General features: G+C 51.7%; 2 protein-coding genes across 4 annotated transcripts in view, besides 5 other annotated features; both read left to right on the forward strand.

The window, feature by feature from the left end:
* Window positions 1-4937, forward strand: part of KCNK6 (potassium two pore domain channel subfamily K member 6) — a 12232-nt gene extending 7295 nt beyond the window's left edge. For both annotated transcript variants that reach the window (NM_004823.3, XM_047439726.1), the window contains exon 3: window positions 41-4937. In NM_004823.3, coding sequence (NP_004814.1) covers window positions 41-264 — 224 coding nt within the window. In that variant the 3' untranslated portion in view covers window positions 265-4937. The remainder of the gene's footprint in view (window positions 1-40) is intronic.
* Window positions 8430-8724: an enhancer, noted in NCBI's record as "tiled region #11361; HepG2 Activating DNase matched - State 12:CtcfO, and K562 Activating DNase unmatched - State 1:Tss". NCBI's record gives its function as "activates a minimal TATA promoter and a strong SV40 promoter by Sharpr-MPRA in HepG2 and K562 cells {active_cell/tissue: HepG2 | K562}" and the evidence as "EXISTENCE:reporter gene assay evidence [ECO:0000049][PMID:27701403]".
* Window positions 8430-8738: a biological region, named in NCBI's record as "Sharpr-MPRA regulatory region 11361".
* Window positions 8529-8738: an enhancer, noted in NCBI's record as "active region_14570". NCBI's record gives its function as "activates an Ori minimal core promoter by ATAC-STARR-seq in GM12878 lymphoblastoid cells {active_cell/tissue: GM12878}" and the evidence as "EXISTENCE:reporter gene assay evidence [ECO:0000049][PMID:35858748]".
* The window catches only part of CATSPERG (catsper channel auxiliary subunit gamma), a 35114-nt gene continuing 29618 nt past the window's right edge, over window positions 8691-14186 (forward strand). For both annotated transcript variants that reach the window (NM_021185.5, NM_001330496.2), the window contains exons 1-3: window positions 8691-8736; window positions 10082-10365; window positions 10454-10507. In NM_021185.5, the coding sequence (NP_067008.3) occupies window positions 10096-10365; window positions 10454-10507 (324 nt within the window). In that variant the 5' untranslated portion in view covers window positions 8691-8736; window positions 10082-10095. The remainder of the gene's footprint in view (window positions 8737-10081; window positions 10366-10453; window positions 10508-14186) is intronic.
* Window positions 8859-8938: a silencer, noted in NCBI's record as "silent region_10568". NCBI's record gives its function as "represses an Ori minimal core promoter by ATAC-STARR-seq in GM12878 lymphoblastoid cells {active_cell/tissue: GM12878}" and the evidence as "EXISTENCE:reporter gene assay evidence [ECO:0000049][PMID:35858748]".
* Window positions 9309-9478: a silencer, noted in NCBI's record as "silent region_10569". NCBI's record gives its function as "represses an Ori minimal core promoter by ATAC-STARR-seq in GM12878 lymphoblastoid cells {active_cell/tissue: GM12878}" and the evidence as "EXISTENCE:reporter gene assay evidence [ECO:0000049][PMID:35858748]".

Genomic DNA, 14186 nt, shown 5'->3' on the forward strand with positions numbered 1-14186 from the left:
GAGCCCCAGGATGACCAACGCCCCTTCTCCGCCTTTACAGTCTACCTCTTCCTGGGCCTGGTGGCCATGGTGCTGGTGCTGCAGACCTTCCGCCACGTGTCCGACCTCCACGGCCTCACGGAGCTCATCCTGCTGCCCCCTCCGTGCCCTGCCAGTTTCAATGCGGATGAGGACGATCGGGTGGACATCCTGGGCCCCCAGCCGGAGTCGCACCAGCAACTCTCTGCCAGCTCCCACACCGACTACGCTTCCATCCCCAGGTAGCTGGGGCAGCCTCTGCCAGGCTTGGGTGTGCCTGGCCTGGGACTGAGGGGTCCAGGCGACCAGAGCTGGCTGTACAGGAATGTCCACGAGCACAGCAGGTGATCTTGAGGCCTTGCCGTCCACCGTCTCTCCTTTGTTTCCCAGCATCTGGCTGGGATGTGAAGGGCAGCACTCCCTGTCCCCATGTCCCGGGCTCCACTGGGCACCAACATAACCTTGTTCTCTGTCCTTTCTCTCATCCTCTTTACACTGTGTCTCTCTGGCTCTCTGGCATTCTCGCTGCCTCTGTCTTTCCCTCTTGCTGTCTCTGTTTCTCATTCTCTTTCATGTTCCGTCTGTGTCTCTCAATTAACCACTCGTCAACTGCTGATTCTACTGGGCTGTGGGCTCAGACCTCATTTCAGGCACCAGATTGGTCGCTACACCCTGGACAAGTGACTGCCCGTCTCTGAGCCTTGATTTCCTCAGCTGCCAAATGGGAAGAATAGAAGAATTTGCCCCTAAACCCCTCCTGTGTGCTGGCCCTGTGCTAGACAGTGCTGGAGACATAGTTGGGGGTGGAGAACTGCCCTTATGGAGCTTGCAGTCCAGTGAGGTGGACAGACCTGTCCCCAGACAGTGATGGCCCAAAATGGTCAGGACTTTAATGGAGGAGGTGAGGTGTTGAAAGCACAGGCAGAGTGGTCAGGGCTGAAGTCGGAGAAGCATAGGGACTAGGCCCAATCCAGCCTGGAAAGTCAGGGAGGACTTCCTAGAGGAAGGGACATCGAACTAAGACCTGAACTATGAGAAATAGGCAGGAAGAAGTTGTACCTGACTCATTTTTCTCAGGTGTCTCCAGGGAGCAGGACCCATGGAGGGACCCCTGGTGTAGGCCTGGGCGATAGACTCTTCCTCAGCAGCCTGGCAGGCAGGAAACAGACATAGGACCCCAGCCCAGATCTGAATGGCATGGGAGGTGCTGCCCTTAACCATGACACCATTGTAAGAGCTGTCCACATTTGTATGTTGTGCCCTGGAATCAGCCTGGTTGAGCTCAAATCCCAACTTAGCCACGTCTGGCCTGTGTCCTTGGGCAGTCACACTACCTCTCTGATTTTGTTTCCTTATCTGTAAAATGGTGATCATCATAATACAACTTCAAAAGGATTTCAGGCTGAGTGTGGTGGCTCACGCCTATACACCCAGCACTTTGGAAGGCTGAGGAAGGAGGATCGCTTGAGGCCAGGAGTTTGAGACTAGCCTAGGCAACACAGTGAGGCCTTATCTCAACAACAACCACAAAATCTAAAAATTAGCTGGGTGTGGTGGTGCATGCCTGTGATCCTGGCTACTTCAGAGGCTGAGGTGGAAGGATCACTTGAGGCCAGGAGTTTGAGGCTGCAGTGAGTTATGATGGCACTGCTGCACTCCAGCCTGCGGGACAGAGTGAGACCCTGTCTGAAAGAAAGAGAGAAAGAAAGAAAGAAAGAGAGAGAAAGAAAGAAAGAAAGAAAGGGAAAGATGGAAGGAAGGAAGGAAAAAGAAAGAGAAAGAGAGAGAGAGAGAAAGAAAAAGAAAGAAAAGTAAGAAAGAAAAAAGAAAAAGAAAGAAAAGTAAGAAAGAAAAAAAGAAAAAGAAAGAAAGTAAGTCCTGGCTAACACGGTGAAACCCTGTCTCTACTAAAAATACAAAAAATTAGCCAGGCGAGGTGGCAGGCGCCTGTAGTCCCAGCTACTCGGGAGGCTGAGGCAGGAGAATGGCGTGAACCCCGGTGGGGGCGGAGCCTGCAATGAGCCGAGATCGCGCCACTGCATCCAACCTGGGTGACAGCAAGACTCCGTCTCAAAAAAAAAAAAGAAAGAAAGAAAAGAAAAGAAGGAAAGAAGCGGGGCACAGTGGCTCAGTCCTGTAATCCCAGCACCTTGGGAAGGCCAAGGTGGGAAGATCACTTGAGGCTAGGAGTTTGAGACAAGCCTGGCCAACATAGCAAGACCCCATCTCTACAAAAATAAAAATTTTAAAAAGGGCTGGGGCATTTGAGCTGGGTCCCAACAGTAGACAAGTAGAAAAGGCATGGAGAGGGCATACCAGGTGGGAGGAGCTGTGTGCAAAGGCCTGGAGATGGAAAAGCATGCTGGCCACCAGCTTCTGACAAGCAGTTTAGTATGAACGGTATGCAGGGAAAGAGGGAAGGAGGGCAGAGGGGTGCGCACGAGCACCCGTTAGTGTCCTTAAATGACCAGCATGGGAACCTGGTCTCTTTCCTGAGGGCCCTAGAGAGCCATGGAAGGGTTTAGAGTAGGAGTGGGTCATGGTTAGGTTTGGGTTTTAGGATGATCCCCCTAGTTGCTCTGGAGAGGTGGAGCAGAGCGGGTACTGAGGCTGGGTGCCTGTGGGAGGCTGAGGCAGGAATGAAGAGGGAGACGATGGGCCTGGGCTGAGCCATGGAAGGGAGGAGGGGTGAGTGCGGGCACACTCAGGAGCCAAGTGGACAGGCCATAGCCCCCACAGACTGGAGGGACGCGGCTAGGGAATGTCCCACAGAGTGGCCAGTTATCCCTGAGAGAAAGAGCAGGTTTTAGCGGAGACGCTGAGGCTGCTTTAGAATATGGTGGGTGTGTGGGGCAAAAGGGACACCCAGGGGTGTATCAAGAGGTCATAGGGGGCAGGCCAGGTGGCTCACGCCTGTAATCCCAGCACTTTGTGAGGCCGAGGCAGGTGGATCACCTGAGGTCAGGAGTTCAAGACCAGCCTGGCCAACATGGTGAAACCCCGTCTCTACTAAAAATACAAAAATTAGCTGGGTGTGGTGGCACATGCCTGTAGTCCCAGCTACTTGGGAGGCTGAGACAGAATTGCTTGAACCTGGGAGGTGGCGGCTGCAGTGGGCCGAGATCACACCACTGTACTCCAGCCTGGGCGAAACAGAGACTCTGTCTCAAAAAAAAAAAAAAAGTCATAGGGGCTGGGCATAGTGGCTCTCACCTATAATCCTAGCAAATCGTAGTACTTTGGGAGGCCGAGGCAGGAGGATTGCCTGAGCCCAGGGGTTCAAGACCAGCCTCAGCAACATAAAATACAAAAAATACAAAAATTAGCTGGGTTTGGTGGTGTGCACCTGTGGTCCCAGCTACTCAGGAGGCTGAAGTGGGAGGATCACTTGAGCCTGGGAGGTCAAGGCTGCAGTGAGCTGTGATTGCATCACTGTACTCCAGCTTGGGTGACAGAGCAAGACCCTGTCTCAAAAAAAAAAAAAGAAAAGAAAAAGAAAAAGAAAAAGAAAATATGTATATTGGATATACTATGTGCCAGGCACGATTCCAAGCCCCTGATACATTCTCTACATTTTACAGATGGGGGAAGGAGGTCCAGAGATGTTAAATACTTGCCCAAGGTCACACAGAAAGTGGAACACTGGGATTTGAACAAGGTTTTGGTTGGGCATCTTTTCCTATGGGAGCTCAGAAATATCTGTTGTCTAGCCCTTTCTCAGCCTCCCAACCTTCTCGGTTCCTTACCTATGTCACAGCTGACTTTGAGCTAAAGTCATCTCGGGGCAGCTAGGTGCCTATGTGAGCTGGCGTTCATTTCTCACTGTTTCTCCTTCCAAATACCTCCAGGAAGAAAAGCAAGTCCTTTTTGGTCCAAGACATTAAAAAAGCCAGGCTCAGCGGCTCATGCCTGTAATCCCAACACTTGGGGAGGCTGAGGCAGGAGGATCGCTTGAGCCCGGGAGCTGGAGACCAGCCTGGACATGTTAACATAGCAAGACCCCTCTACAGAAAATGTTAAAAATGAGCTGGGTGTGGTGGCGCACACCTGTAGTCCCAGTTACTCAGGAGGATGAGGCAGGAGGATCACTTGAGCCTAGGAGGTTGAGGCTGCAGTGAGCCATGATCACACTACTGGACTCCAGCCTGGGCCATAGAGCAAGACCCTGTCCTAGGAGAAAAAAAAGGGCCAGGCACAGTGGCTCACGCCTGTAATTCCAGTACTTTGGGAGGCCGAGGCGGGCGGATCACAAGGTCAGGAGATCAAGACCATCCTGGCTAACACAGTGAAACCCGTCTCTACTAAAAATACAAAAAAATTAGCTGGGTGCGGTGGCACGCACCTGTGATCCCAGCTACTCGGGAGGCTGAGGCAGGAGAATCACTTGAACCCAGGAGGTGGAGGTTGCAGTGAGCCGAGATCCCACCATTGCACTCCAGCCTGGGAGACAGAGCGAGACTCCGTCTCAGAAAAAAAAAAAAAAGAAAAAAGTGTGTGCTAAAAAATTCATCAGGTACTAAAGAGTGTACGGTGGAAAGTAAGTCTTTCTCCTACACTCAGATCATGGATGGATGTCTCAGGTCTTCCCAGGCACATTTGATGTTATGTACCAGCCATATGCATGTGTGTGTCATTTATTTTTCACTCTACACAAGTAGTACCTAATATGGTGAGGTTGTTATGATTACAGACTCTGGAGGCAAAGTTCCTGGGTATAAATCTGAACTCTGTCACTCCCAAGCTAAGTGGCTTTGGGCAAGTGATTTCACCTCCATGTGCCTCAGTTTGCTAGTCTGTACAATGGGATGGTAATAGCACCTACCTCATGGACTTGAGAAGTCAGCAACTTCATACCTCTAAAGCCCTTAGAGCTAGCAGTGTGTGGCACTCAATAAAATGTTGACTAATGATGATTCTCACTTCTGTACTATGCTTTTTCGTACCAATTATAAATATTAATATTTTAATGTCACCTTTCTTTTATTCATGTTTCTGTACCTTGCTTTTGTCACCAACACAGTGTAATTCAGAGATAATTTCAGAGACATACAATAGGTCTTTTTTTTTTTTTTTCTTTTTTGAGACTAAGCCTCGCTCTGTTGCCCAGGCTGGAGTGCAGTGGCACGATCTCAGCTCACTGCAACTTCCACCTCCTGGGTTCAAGCAATTCTCCTGCCTCAGCCTCCCGAGTAGCTGGGATTACAGGCACCTGCCACTATGCCCGGCTCATTTTTGTATTTTTAGTAGAGACAGGGTTTCACCATGTTGGCCAAGCTGGTCTCGAACTCCAGATCTCAAGTGATCCACCCGCCTCGGCCTCCCAAAGTGCTGGGATTACAGGTGTGAGCCACCACACCTGGCCACAATAGGTCTTATATCTTACGGTGTCTCCTCTAGGACACATTTCCCATAAATAATTTCAACATCCCCTGTTGATGATACGTGGGTGTTTTCCAGTCTTTTGCTGGTACAACAATGCTACAGCAAACATCTTATGGTTTAAGATCTAATGAAGGGATCGAATGAGGCAGGAGTTCAAGACCACCCTGGGCAACATAGCAAGACCCTCCCTGTACAAAAAATTTAAAAATTAGCTGGGTGTGGTGGAACACCAGCTAGTCAGGAGGCTGCGGCAGGAGGATCACTTGAACCCAGGTGTTTGGGACTAGCTTGGACATCATGTGAGACCTCATCTCTGCTGGACATGGTGGCTCATGTCTGTAATTCCAGCACTTTGGGAGGCCGAGATGGGAGGATTGCTTGAGGCCAGGAGTTTTAGACCAGACTGGTCAAAATGGTGAGACCCCATCTCTATTTTTTTTTTTTTTTAAAAGATGAATAAAGGTCGGGTGCAATGAAGCACATCTGTAATCCCAGCACTTTGGGAGGCTGAAGCGGGTGGATCGCTTGAGGTCAGGAGTTCGAGACCAGCCTGGCCAACATGGTGAAACTTTGTCTCTACTAAAAATATAAAAATTAGTCGGGTACGGTGGCAGATGCCTGTAATCCCAGCTACTCAGGAGGCTGAGGCAGGAGAATTGCTTGAAACGGGGAGGTGGAGGTTGCAGTGAGCTGTGATGGCACCACTGCACTCCAGCCTGGGCGACAGAGTGAGACTTTGTCTCAACAAAAAAAAAAAAAAAAAAAGGGAAAAAAAGAAGATGAAAAAGAAACCCCCATCTCTAAAAAAAAAAAAGTAAAAATAAAACAAATTAACTGGATATGATGACTCGCATCTGCAGTTCCAGCTACTTGGGAGGCTGACATGGGAAGATCACTTGAGCCTGGGAGTTCGAGGCTGCAGCGAGCAATGATTGCGCCACTCCACTCCAGCCTGGGTGAGAGAGTGAGACCCCGTTTCTAAAAAAACAAAATAAAAAAAAAAGGGCTCTGGTACATGGCTACTGAGTTTCTTCCCCTAGAAGATGTCACCGTTCCCTAGCCTGCGGGGGTGGGCTGGGGTGGGAAGGATAGACCACCATCATCGGTTCATTTACATAAAACAACTATTATATGCGGTGCCTGGCAGGGCTGGGGGACAACAGAGGCAGAGAAAGCCATACACCCTGCCCTCACGGAGCTTGTGATCCAGTGGAAAAGAAACACCCATTTCCAGTCATGAGTGGCCTAGAGGGGCCAAGAGGTAGGATGAGGGCTGGTCATGTATCACAGAGAAGACCTAAAGGAAGGAAAGTGGTGGGCCCTGTTAAAAAGCATGGAATGGTATTCCAGAGGGCATTACTGAGTCTGCACAGGTCTGGAGCATGCATGGCTCACACCTGACCAAGGATATTCAAGTCGCTCCATGTGACCAGACTGTGGACCACAGAGGTCTAAGGGGGAGAGGGCAGATGAGCCAGATAGAATGACAGGGAGGAGAGTATGAGGGGCTCTGGAAACCGAGGGGTTTGGAAGTTTTCCTGAGGGCCTAGAGGGTCATGGAAGGTTCTAGAGCACTGGTTCTCAAGGTGTGGTCTCCAGACCACTAGTATCAGCATCACCTAGGAACTTGCCAGAAATACAAATTATCAGGCCCCACTCCAGATCTACTGAATGAAAAATTCTGGAAGTAGCCAGGTAGTTACTCAGGAGGCTGAGATGGGAGGCTCACATGAGGCCTGAAATTCAAGGCTAACCTGAGATAGGGTGTTGCTCTTTTGCCCAGGCTGAAATGCAGTGGTGTGATCACAGCTCACTGCATTTCCGTGTATTTCAGAGCTCACTGCAGCCTCAAACTCCTGGGCTCAAGTGGTCTTCCTGCCTCAACCTCCCAGGTAGCTGGGGTCACAGGGATGGACCACCACACTGGGCTAATTTAAAAAAATTGTTAGCAACAGGGTCTTACCATATTGCCCAGGCTGGCCTCAAGCGATCCTCCTACCTCAGCCTCCCAAAGTACTGGGATTACAGGTGTGCAGCACCACATCTGGCTTAATTTTTTTTTTTTTTTTTGAGACAGGGTCTCATTCTGTCGCCCAGGCTGGAGTGCAGTGGAGGGATCTCGGCTCACTGCAACCTCCGCCTCCTGGGTTCAAGCAACTCCTGCCTCAGCCTCCCGAGTAGCTGGGATTACAGGTGCCCGCCGCCATGCCCGGCTAATTGTTGTATTTTTTGGTAGAGACAAGGTTTTATCATGTTGGCCAGGCTGGTATCCAACTTCAGACCTCAAGTGATCCGCCTGCCTCAGCTTTCCAAAGTGCTGGGATTATAGGCATGAGCCACTATGCCCAGCCAGAGACTCCATCTTTAAAACAAAAACAAAAACTCAGGGTGTGGTACCCACCAACCTGGCTTACCCAGCCTTTTAGGTGAGTCTAATGCATGCTCAAATTTGAAAACCACTGGGTTAAACGTCTGGTCTGGAGTTCATCAAAAAGTCATGGCCTGAATCCTTACCTGTAAGGCATCAGAATGCAAATGAAAATTAACTTAATGAATATTTTACTTGAGCCGGGCACACTTCCCACAACAGTATAGGATGGCTGTCCTTGTCCTGTTTTGTAGAGGACGGTGCTAAGCAGCCTATTCATTCTCACAAGGTCTCCAGGAAACCACACTTTTTTAAGGAGTAGAATTTTGGGGTAGGGCCGGGCGCAGTGGCTCACGCCTGTAATCCCAGCACTTTGGGAGGCCGAGGCGGGTGGTTCGCCTGAGGTCAGGAGTCGAGACCAGCCTGGCCAACATGATGAAACCCCGTTTCTACTAAAAATACAAAAAATAAATTAGCCAGGCGTGGTGGCGGGAGCCTATAATCCCAGCTACTCGGGAGGCTGAGGCAGGAGAATCGCTTGAATCCGGGGCAGGGGCGCGGAGGTTTCAGTGAGCCGAAATCGCGCCACTTCACACTCCAGCCTGGGAGAAAGAGCGAAACTCCGTCTCAAAAAAATATATATATATATATATTTGGGTAGGAAGCACAAGTAGGGACCGTGCTTGCTGCCAGAACAACCAATAGAAACTCCTTGAAGGCCTTCCTGGCACAAACGTAGTCTCCAGCACCCTCTGCCGACCAGGCCCCGCGCCCTCAGTGCTGAGACAGCCTCCAGCCCTCGGTGCCTTAGGGGTTGCGCGTCACCTTGGAGACCGCGTGAGAGGAGGGCGTGCCTCTGCAAAGGCGGAAGTCGGCTGTGGAAGTGTGGGCGGCCATTTTGAGACCGGGCAAGAGGGGCGGGACTGGTGCGGCCGAGTGACAGTTGACCGGTTTTAACCAAGTGACTGGTACCACGGGGCCGGGGAAAAAGCTGTGCCATCCAGGGGCGGGGGGATGCCGGGGACGGGGAGGAACTAGGAAGGGGAGGGGAAGGGGAAGGCGAGAAGGGGAGAGGCAGGGGAAAGAGGGGAAGAGTCGTGGGAGCTGGGAGAGGAGGGAAAGAGGGGAAGAGTCGTGGGAGCTGGCAGAGGAGGGAAAGGGGGAGCCGAACGTGAAGGGCGAAGGGCGGGGCGGGGCAGGAGAGTCGGGGTATAGAGCAGGCAGGTGTTAATGGCATGGGAAGGAAGAGTAAGAAGTGGGGCAAGAAGGTGTCGCGGTACGAGGGGAAGGTGAGACTCAAGAAGGTGCCGGCTAAGAAGCTGGTGCCGGCGTGGAAGGAGAAGGTGTGGGGCGAGGAAACAACGAAGGGCGAGGAAAGATCCCGAGGCGAAGAGACAGTTTTCATCGAGAAGGGGCAGGGCGAGGAGGAGGGGCGTTACCAGAGGGCGGGACGGGGCGACGGGCCCGCGCGGGAAGAACCAATCGCCGAGAACCCGGGGAAGGAACGGGTCCATAAAGACCAAGTGGAGGAGTAGGGGCGCGGTCAGGAGCGGAAGCAGAGTGAGGAGCAAGCCCCGGGCGAGAAACGGGGGCCCGGCCGGGAGCAAGAGCAGGGGCGGGGCCGGGAGCAAGAGCAGGGGCGGGGCCCGGAGACGGGCGAGACCAGGTACAGTACCCAGCCCCTGGGCAGACCCCGAGCGAGGAGAAAGCGGCGATACCAAGAGAAGTGCGAGGGTGGGGCAAGAGGTTGGGGCACAGCCGGGTGGAAGTACACGGGTGCGATCGCAGGCAGAAGCAGTACGGGGGAACTTAAGAGGGGGACTGTCAAAGCGAGAAATAGAAACCAAGACCAGGTGAAGAGCAAGAGTGGAATACAGGGAGGGGGCGGAATAAGGAGCAAGGTGAGGATAAAGTTAAAGGAAGAGACGTGGAGGCGGCGGGGCGGAACGAGGCGGAGGAGCAGGGGTGTGGCCAGAAACATTAGTAGGGCTGGGGCCCGGAGCAATAGCAGAGGTGCGATACCCACGAGGGTCGGGGGCAGGGCCAGGAGCAAGAGCAGGGGCGGGACCAGGAGCAAGTGCAGAGGCGGAGCCAGGAACAAGAGCAGAGGCGGGGCTAAAAGTCCGTGCGGGGGCAGGGCCAGGAGCAAGAGCAGGGGCGGGACCAAGAGCAAGTGCAGGGGCGGGGCCAGGAGCAAGAGCCGGGGCGTGGCCAGGAGCAAGTGCTGTGAGAGGCGCAGAAGCGAGGTGGAATCTTAAAAGTGGGCTCCAGAGAGCTGTCCGGCGCGTGGGTGTTGACTCCTGCGTTCTCCAGGTTCTAGCCACGTTATGTGCGGCCCAGCCATGTTCCCTGCCGGTCCTCCGTGGCCCAGAGTCCGAGTCGTGCAGGTGCTGTGGGCCCTGCTGGCAGTGCTCCTGGCGTCGTGGAGGCTGTGGGCGATCAAGGATTTCCAGGAATGCACCTGGCAGGTTGTCCTGAACGAGTTTAAGAGGGTAGGCGAGAGTGGTGTGAGCGACAGCTTCTTTGAGCAAGAGCCCGTGGACACAGTGAGCAGCTTGTTTCACATGCTGGTGGACTCACCCATCGACCCGAGCGAGGTGAGGGGACCAGGGTCAAGTGAACCAGAGGGATTTTGAACCCGCACTCCACTCATTTCTGGACGTGTGGCCTAACCTCTCTTTGCAGAAATACCTGGGCTTCCCTTACTACCTGAAGATCAACTACTCCTGCGAGGAAAAGGTGAGTGGGTGCAGCACGGATAGGCTCATTCTATGAGCCTTGGTTTTCCCACCTCTAACATTTTTATTTATTTATTTATTTTATTTTTTTGAGACGGAGTCTTGCGCTGTTGCCCAGACTGGAGTGCAGTGGCGCGATCTCGGCTCACTGCAACCTCCGCCTCCCGTGTTCAAGCGATGCTCCTGCCTCGGCCTCCCAAGTAGCTGGAACTACAGGCATGTGACACCACGCCCGGCTAATTTTTGTATTTGGTAGAGACAGGGTTTCACCACGTTGCCCAGGCTGGTCTCAAACTCCTGACCTCATGTGATCCACCTGCCTCAGACTCCCAAAGTGCTGGGATTACAGGTGTGAGCCACCGTGCCTGGCCCCCATCTCAATATGTGGTAGCACCATCCAACCCTGGTGGCTTTAAGGATTCAAGAAGGCTGTCTGTGTACAGTTCCCAGTAACCCACCAAGCACCTAGTAGGTGCTCAAGTAAGCTTTTTTGTTCCATGTTTTTTTTGTTTTGTTTTGTTTTTGAGACGGAGTCTCGCTCCGCCCAGGCTGGATTGCAGTGGCGCGATCTCGGCTCACTGCAAGCTCCGCCTCCTGGGTTCACACCATTCTCCTGCCTCAGCCTCCCAAGTAGCTGGGACTACAGGCGCCTGCCACCACGCCCGGCTAATTTTTTGTATTTTTAGTAGAGATGGGGTTTCACCGGGTTAGCCAGGATGGTCTCGATCTCCTGACCTCGTGATCCGCCCGCCTCGGCCTCCTAGAGTGCTGGGATTACAGGCGTGAGCCACCTCACCCGGCCTTGTTCCAGGTTTTTAAAGCTATGAGTAGGAGTTTACCATATATATAATTCACACACCATAAAATTCACCATTGTTATTTTTGTTATTTTTCTGAGGCAGGGTCTCACTCTGTTACCCAGGCTGGAGTGCAATGGTGAAATCACAGCTCATTGCAGCCTTGACCTCCTGGGCTCAAGTGAACCTTCTGCATCAGCCTCTTGAATAGCTGGGACTAGTTGTGCGCCACCACACCAGCACGGGAGGATCACTTGCATCCAGAAGCTCAAGACTAGCCTAGGTGAATTTGGCTGGGCATGGTGGCTCCCACCTGTAGAAATGCTAAGGCAGGATCATCATAATGAGCCTAGGAGGTTGAGGCTGCAGGGAACTGTGATCATGCCACTACACTCCAGCCTGGGTGACAGAGTGAGACCCTGTCTTTGTTTTTATTAATTAATTAATTAATTTTTGAGATGGAGTCTCACTCTGTTGTTGGGGTGATCAGACCCAACACCAGGTCGGGGGGAGGGGGTGGCGACGAAGTCCGGCGGAGTCAAAGGATTGAGAAAAAGGCAGTTTGAGAGAGAGAAGTAAAGTGGGACCAGAGGGCCATTGCTAGTGTATGGAGGCTGCTAAAGCCCCGAGCTCTGGGAGCCCACGCTATTTATTGGTAATCCAACAAAGAAACAGGTGGTGAGAATGTGGAGGTCAAAAGGGCACATTGCATTAAGCACATGATTTACAGCTGTGATGGTTTAGCATTTGCTCTGCTGCTTGAGATAATGGAGAGCAGGTTCTTTTAACTCAAGATACAATCAATCCTGGGAGCGCAAGGAGCAAGCAAGTCTAGACACATTCCAGAGCCATGAGCCCTGGATTCTATCGAGGCCATGAGGGATTTTATGCCCTTGGCTTAGATTATGGTGCATGATGGTAGGCTTCCACCCTTTAGCACAGAGCTTGGTGTTCCAAAGGCCACAAGGGGTTTTAGACCCTGGACCCCGGACATGTTCCAAGACTCTTTTACATTATGTCAGACATGCAAGCCCTGCCTCAGCTTCTCCTAACACTCTGTCGCCCAGGCTGGAGTGCAGTGGCGCAATCTCGGCACACTGCAGTCTCTGCCTCCTGGGTTCTAAGCGATTCTCCTGCCTCAGCCTCCTGAGTAGCAGGAATTAAAGTTTTTAATTTTGGTGAAGCCCAGTTTATAAATTTTTTTCTTTTTTTTGCTTGTGTTTTTTGTGTCATTTACAAAGGCCTTGCGTAACTAAAGATCATGAAGACTTACTCATATTTTCTTCAAGAGATTTTTAGTTTTAGCTCTTACATTTAGGTCTTTCATCCATTTTGAGTTAATTTTTGTATATGGTGTGAGGTCCAAGCTTTTACACGTGCATATCCAGTTGTCCCAATGCCGTTTGGTGAGATTCTTCTTTTTTTTTTTTGAGACAAAATCTCATTCTGCCACCCAGGCTGGAGTGCAGTGGCGTGATCTTGGCTCACTGCAACCTCCCCCTCCCAGGTTCAAGCGATTCTCCTGCCTCAGCCTACTGAGTAGCAGGAATTACAGGCATGCGCCACCATGCCTGGCTAATTTTTATATTTTAGTAGAGACAGGGTTTCACCATGTTGGCCAGGCTGGTCTCGAACTCCTGACCTCAGGTGATCCACCTGCCTTGGCCTCCCAAAGTGCTGGGACTACAGGCGTGAGCCACCATGCCTGGCCTGTTGAGATTATTCTTTCCCCGCTGAATTGTCTTGGCACCTTTGTCAAAAATCAATTGAATATAAATATAAGGGTTTCTTTCTGGACTCAATTCTATTCTAAATGAATTGATTTCTCAATAATTCATTGCTCTAAATGCCTATTCATATGCCAGTATCACAGAGTCTTTTTTTTTTTCTTTTTTTGAGACAGGGTCTCACTCTGTCACCCAGGCTGGAGTACAGTGGCATGATCTCGGCTCAGTACAGCCTACACATTCTGGGTTCAAGCGATTCTCCTGCCTCAGCTGCCCAAGTAGCTGGGACTACAGATGTGCGCCACCACGCCCGGCTAATTTTGTATTTTTGGTAGAGATGGGGTTTCTCCATATTGGTCAGGCTGGTCTTGAACTCCTGACCTCAGGTGATCCACCTGCCTCGGCCTCCCAAAGTGCTGGGATTATAGATGTGAGCCACCGCGCCCGGCCAATAATTTTATTTTTTTAGAGACAGGGTCTTGCGCTGTCACCCAGGCTGAAATGCAGTGGCTTGATCATAGCTCATTGCAGCCTCGACCTCCTGGGCTGAAGTGATCCTCCTGCCTCAGCCTCCCAAGTAGCAGGGACTACAGGCTCAAGCCATCACACCAGTGTACTTTCAATTAGACAGGGTCTCACTATGTTGCCTAAGGCTGGCATGAAAGAATTTCTGAGAGTAGTATTAATAAATGCAAATAATAAAATGAGGTAATACGTTAGAAAGGAGGGGGGGGCACTGTTTTAGTGGGGGTCGTTGGAGAAGGTCACTCTGGAAAGGCTTGAGCAGAGACTCAAATGATAAAAAGTGGGGATTATTAGGAGAGCCAGGTAAAGCTTTCCAGGCCGAGGGAAGAGCCAGCACGATGGCCCAGAGGTAGGAAAGAGGTCAGCATGTGTGAGAAACTATGAAGAGGACTTTGTGGCTGGAGCAGAGTGAGTGAGAGGGAGTGTGGGAGGAGAGGTCAGGGAAGTGATGGGGGAAGGTTTTTGGGGCTTGATGGGCCATGGTGAGGACTTGGCTTTTACTCTGAGACAGAGCCTGAGAGGGCCCTATGCAGAGGAGGGATTGGATCTGATTCCAGGCTTCACTGGCTCCCTCCTGTTGTTGGGGGAGCAGGGCAGGAGCAGTGAGACAAGGAGGAGGCTGCTACATTGC

Source organism: Homo sapiens, chromosome 19, assembly GCF_000001405.40.
Source record: "Homo sapiens chromosome 19, GRCh38.p14 Primary Assembly".
In the NCBI taxonomy this organism is placed as follows: domain Eukaryota; kingdom Metazoa; phylum Chordata; class Mammalia; order Primates; family Hominidae; genus Homo; species Homo sapiens.